Genomic DNA, 5,206 nt, shown 5'->3' with positions numbered 1-5,206 from the left:
TTGTGTTTCTAATATGCCCATCATCTGAGTTGTCAAATTAAAAAACTTTGTTCAGAATCATTACTTACCATTTTAATGTCTGTAGGATAAGTAGAGATACTGTCTACTTTATTTCTGATGGTGTTTTTTAAATTCTTTTTTATAACTTTGCTGTTGCTTGGATGTTTTCAATTTTATTAATTTTTTTTAAAGAATCAACTTTAGGCTCTATTAATTTTTCTCTCTTCCTTATGTCATTGATTATTACTCTTATTATTATTATTTTCTTCCATTTTGAGTTTAACTTGCTTTTCACTTTCTACTTCTTAGAGAGAAAATGCATGTAAACCTTTCTTTTTTTCTATAAGTATTTGCATCTATAAAATTTCATCAAAACACTACTTTGACAGAATTCTACATTCTGAAATGCTCTTTTTAATATCATTTAGTTCAAAATATTTTCTAATTCATCTCCAATTTTTTTGTCCAATTTATTGTTTTGAGGTATTTTGCTTAATTTCCAAATATTTGGGTTTTTTTTCACCAAATATACTAATACCACTAAATGTTAATGTAATTATGTTGTGGCTGAAGCTTATATGATAAAATACTATAATTTTTTAAATTTGTTAAGACTTATTTTAATGGCCCCAAATTTAATCTATCTTGTTAAAGATTCCAGGTGTTATTAAAATAAACTTACATTTATTGAGTGTAATGTTCTATAAATGTTAATATTGGTTAATAGTGGTGTTCAAATTTTTAATGTTCTTACTTTTTTTCTAATTATTTTATTGGTTACTAAAAGATGGATGTTTAAAGTGGCCTAAAGATCAGTGATCCACCTTAGACTAATTAAATCAAAATCACTGGAAATGTACTCCCCGCAAGTAATTTTAATTTGTCAGAAAGATTGAGAACTACTGTTCTAGAGAAAAAAGGAAATTCTTATTGAAACTGTTTGTTGATAGAAACCACTTCTTTTTATTTTTTAATTATTATTATTATTTTGAGACAGGGTCTCATTCTTAGGGCCTTTCTCTGTTACCCAGACTGGAGTGCAGTGGTACAATCTCAGCTCACTGCAACTTCTGCCTCCTGGACTCAAGCGATCTTCCCACTTCAGCCTCCCAAGTAGGTGGGACTACAGGCATGTACCACCACACCTGGATAATTTCTGTATTTTTGTAGGGATGGGTTTTCACCATGTTGCCCTGGCTGGTCTCAAACTCCTGAGCTCAAAGTGATCCTCCTACCTCAACCTCCCAAAGTGCTGGGATTACAGGTGTGAGCTACTGCACCCAGCAGAAACCATTTCTGTAATTACAGTCATGTGCTGCATGATGTTTTAGTCAAGGACGAATATATGTGACAGTGGTCACATAAGCTGATAATGGAGCTTAAATATTCCTATTGTTCAGTGACATCACAGCCATCATAACATCATAGTACAACTTAGGTATCTGTGATGATGCTGGGGTAAACAGACCCACTGCATTGCCAGACATATAAAGATGTAGCACATACATCTATGTATCATGCAGAATACTTGATAATGATAGTAAATGGCTATGTTATTGGTTTATATATTTATTATACTATACTTTTTATCATTTTTTAGAGTGTACTGCTACTACTTATAAAAAATATTAACTGTAAAAAAGGCTCACACAAGTTCTTAAGGGGGAATTCCAGAAGAAGGAATTATTATCATAGGATGACAGCTCCATGCATGCTATTGCCCCTGAAGACCTTCCAGCGGGGACAAGATGTGGAGGTGGTGATGATGATCGTGACTTAGTGTAGGTCTAGGCTAAGGCGTGTGTTTGTTCTTAGTTTTTAACTGAACATGTTTAAAAAGTTAAAAAAAATAAAAATTAAAAATAGAAAAATGAATATAGACTAAAGATACAAAGATAATTTTTTAAACAGCTGTATAATATGTCTATGTTTTAATCCAATATTATTATAAAAGAGTAAAAATGTTATAAAAATTAAAAAGTATAAAGTAAATTTAGAGTAAGCTATGGTTAATTTATTATTGAAGAAAAATATTTTTAATAAATTCAGTGTAGCCAAAGTGTACAGCATTTGTCAAGTCTTCAGTAGTTTACAATAATGTTCTATGCCTTCACATTCACTCATCAGTCATTCTCTGACTCACACAGAGTAACGTCCAGTCCTTCAAGCTTCATTCATAGTAAGTGCTCTATACAGATGTGTAGCATTTTTATCTTTAATATTGTACTTTTACTGTACTTTTTTATGTTAGATATTTATAGATACACAAATACTACCATTGTCTCACAATTGCCTGTAGTATTCAGTACAGTAACATGCTGTGTAGGTTTGTTAGCCTCAGAGTGATAAGCTACACCATATAGCCCAGGTGTGTAGTAGGCTATTTTATCTAGGTTTATGTAAGTACACTCTATGATCTTCCTACAACAATAAAATCATCAAATGATGCACTTCTCAGAATGTATTTCCATTATTAAGAGATATCTTAATAATGGAATGTCTGTATGTTGCTTAAAACATGCAAAAAATAGATGGAGAATTGTAAAAGCAATACAAATGTAAGAATTACACACAAAACCACAAAACCAGTGTGATTCAAATTAGCAACATTTATTTAGTGTCTAATGGTCTGCTGAAACAACATCACTAGTGTTGATTTTACAATGAAAAGATATAGCTGCAGGTTCTGTTTTATATTTAATCTGTTTTTGAATTTCGAGTTCAGTAATAATGTCCTTTAAGTATGCTAAATTATATTAATAAGAGCATTGCTGCTTGATTAAGAATAAGTATCCTTTGTCCTTAACAAAAATTCTTCCAGCAAGCAATTCTTGCATGCTAATTTTAATGAAAGCTAAAGTTCAAATCTCAGTATTTGATCATTGCCTCCTTTCCAGATTATGTGAGTTTATACTTTCCTCTTATTGGTTTGTAGAAAAACAAAATTGTTTTCAACCCAGTGCAGGAGCATTAAATATTCCGGAATAGTGGGTCCCCATTTAGTGGATCCAGCTACCCCAATCCATTGAGTTTTTCCTTTGCCATTGATAGCATGAGCACCGTAGGGCTTTTCTAAATCCTGAAGAACACTGGGCTCAGAGGCTGGTGCTTTGAGGTGAGATAACATTCAGGTCTGTAGTTCTTGATCCCAGTCACTGCAAAATATCCTTGCTTGAGTAAGATTTATAGTTTCTGCACAACTGAAAGTCTGTCACACAAAATGGTTCCTAATCATACCACCATTTTCAAGGGATAATGCTTGCAAGCAAGGATGGTGAGCTGGCTGGACTTCAGGCATCCCAAATGCTCAGGCTCCTCTGCCAATGGCAGATTCTGTTTTACTGTGCTTGTGGAAGGTATGTGTGTGCCAAGCACTTGAACATGGCTTACAGGTATTACACACCTCACATAATAACACTGTAAAAATTGTTTGGCGTAGTTGCAGATAAGGTTAGGATTATAGTGTTATTAAAGCTTGCTTTAATGCATTTATTTATGGAGTCAGGAACATAAAACTCCTTATTGCTTACTTATTACTGTATATGCTACCAGGAAAACTGTGGAGAGAGTAAAACAGAGATAAGAACAAAGTAATGCATCAACCTCTGTATCAGTTCAACCAAAGAAATACCACCAGGAGAGATAAAGGGACTCATTGCAGAGAACTGACTTACACAATTGTGGGAACCAGTTGTGCATTCTCTGTAAAGCTGTTGTTTTTGCTTCTGACACTGGAGCTTGAAGTCCACCTGACAGGCAGACAGAAAGGTAAGAGAGGTGTTTAGAGGGGTAAATCATGGGTAGGCAGGAGCTCACAGCATGGGCTAAAATCTCATAAGTATGGACTAAAACAGTAGCTCCTCTTGCCTGTGACATTGGTCACATGGGTGCCCTTTAGAAATTGAAACCCTTTATCACAGAGCTAAGCACAAACATATGGCCCAGGAGTCAGGAATCTGAAGAAGGATCCAGGGAACGAAGGGACAGGTGCAGGCATTGCTGCAGCCCCTCACTAACGGGGTGAGTGAGCAGATTTGTCACAATGGGTGTGGGGTACATGTTGACTATTCCTTCCCTCCTGTCCTCCACATCTAACAAGAAACCCCCTTACAGTTCACCCTAACTGCAACCATGCAAGAAAAATTCTGAGAAATGTATTTTAGCCTACCCAAGTTGACACAATGTCACTAAACTGCAAAGGTTTAGTTTCTTCAAGAGTTCACCATTAAATCTTGATTTAAAAGCTATTATTTGCCAGGCATTGTAGTAAATGCTGAGGGGATAGTACAGGTGGTGGGGCTCAGAACTTCACGCCCATGGAAGTCTTGACCAGCCAGTTTATCCTATAGCGATGCCAATGCACTTTAGCTCAGTAAAAGTATAATCTTAGGAACAAAAGCAGACTCTGGAATCCCAAGTCAGAATTCCATCTTTAGGTGGCTGTAAAATAATCCTAATTATTGTGTTATATTGTTTGGATTACTATTAAAATAAAAAGTAAACAATTAGAACTGTTGTGTTTTCAGTTAGAAATGTCATAGAAATTACAGACCCCCAATGTGAAAGGCAAATGCCTCACATGATTGATACAATATTAATTCAGACAATAAACCCAATAAGCAGTTACCAAGTGTTGCCCTGTGCCAGGTAGTGATAAGGCTGGAGCCACAGAATTAAATCATAAGTTCTGTACACATGGAGCACTCATAATCTGAGATAAGCAGTCATCTGTTCACTGAAATTTCTGTGGTCAGGCAACATCATAGTATCAGAGTTTTGGAGAAGTGTTACAGTTTCTGGGGCTTTCCTGAAGCAAACTAGAGTGTCCCTCTATCTCCCTTTACTCAATTACCACTGCAGCCTAAAGAGAGAACTATGTGAGTTCCTGGCCACTTCTGGTGTTTGCGTGATGACTTTCTCTCTGAGAGTCTTCCTGTGTTTCATCAGCAGTTGTCCGTGCCTGTTTGTGCAACCTTTTGCTTAAAGCTGAAAAATAGGACATGGCAATCCAAAAGCATCTGCAGAGTATGCATAAAGATTAGTATAGGCCTGGCATGGTGGCTCATGCCTGTAATCTCTGCACTTTGGGAAGCCAAGGTGGGTGGATCACTTGAGGTCAGGAGTTTGAGACCAGCCTGGCCAACATGGTGAAACGCTATCTCTACGAAAAATACAAAAAATTAGCCAGTCATAGTGGCAGACTCCT

At 36.0% G+C, this 5,206-nt stretch overlaps 1 annotated feature.

Moving 5' to 3' along the window:
• Positions 4,734 to 4,934: a silencer, noted in NCBI's record as "peak3851 fragment used in MPRA reporter construct". NCBI's record gives its function as "represses an SCP1 promoter by STARR-seq MPRAs in K562 erythroleukemia cells {active_cell/tissue: K562}" and the evidence as "EXISTENCE:reporter gene assay evidence [ECO:0000049][PMID:32103011]".

This window comes from Homo sapiens, chromosome 2, assembly GCF_000001405.40.
Source record: "Homo sapiens chromosome 2, GRCh38.p14 Primary Assembly".
In the NCBI taxonomy this organism is placed as follows: Eukaryota; Metazoa; Chordata; class Mammalia; order Primates; family Hominidae; genus Homo; species Homo sapiens.
The sequence above is the reverse complement of the archived record's forward strand: the minus strand, read 5'-3'. Positions and strand labels throughout refer to the sequence as shown.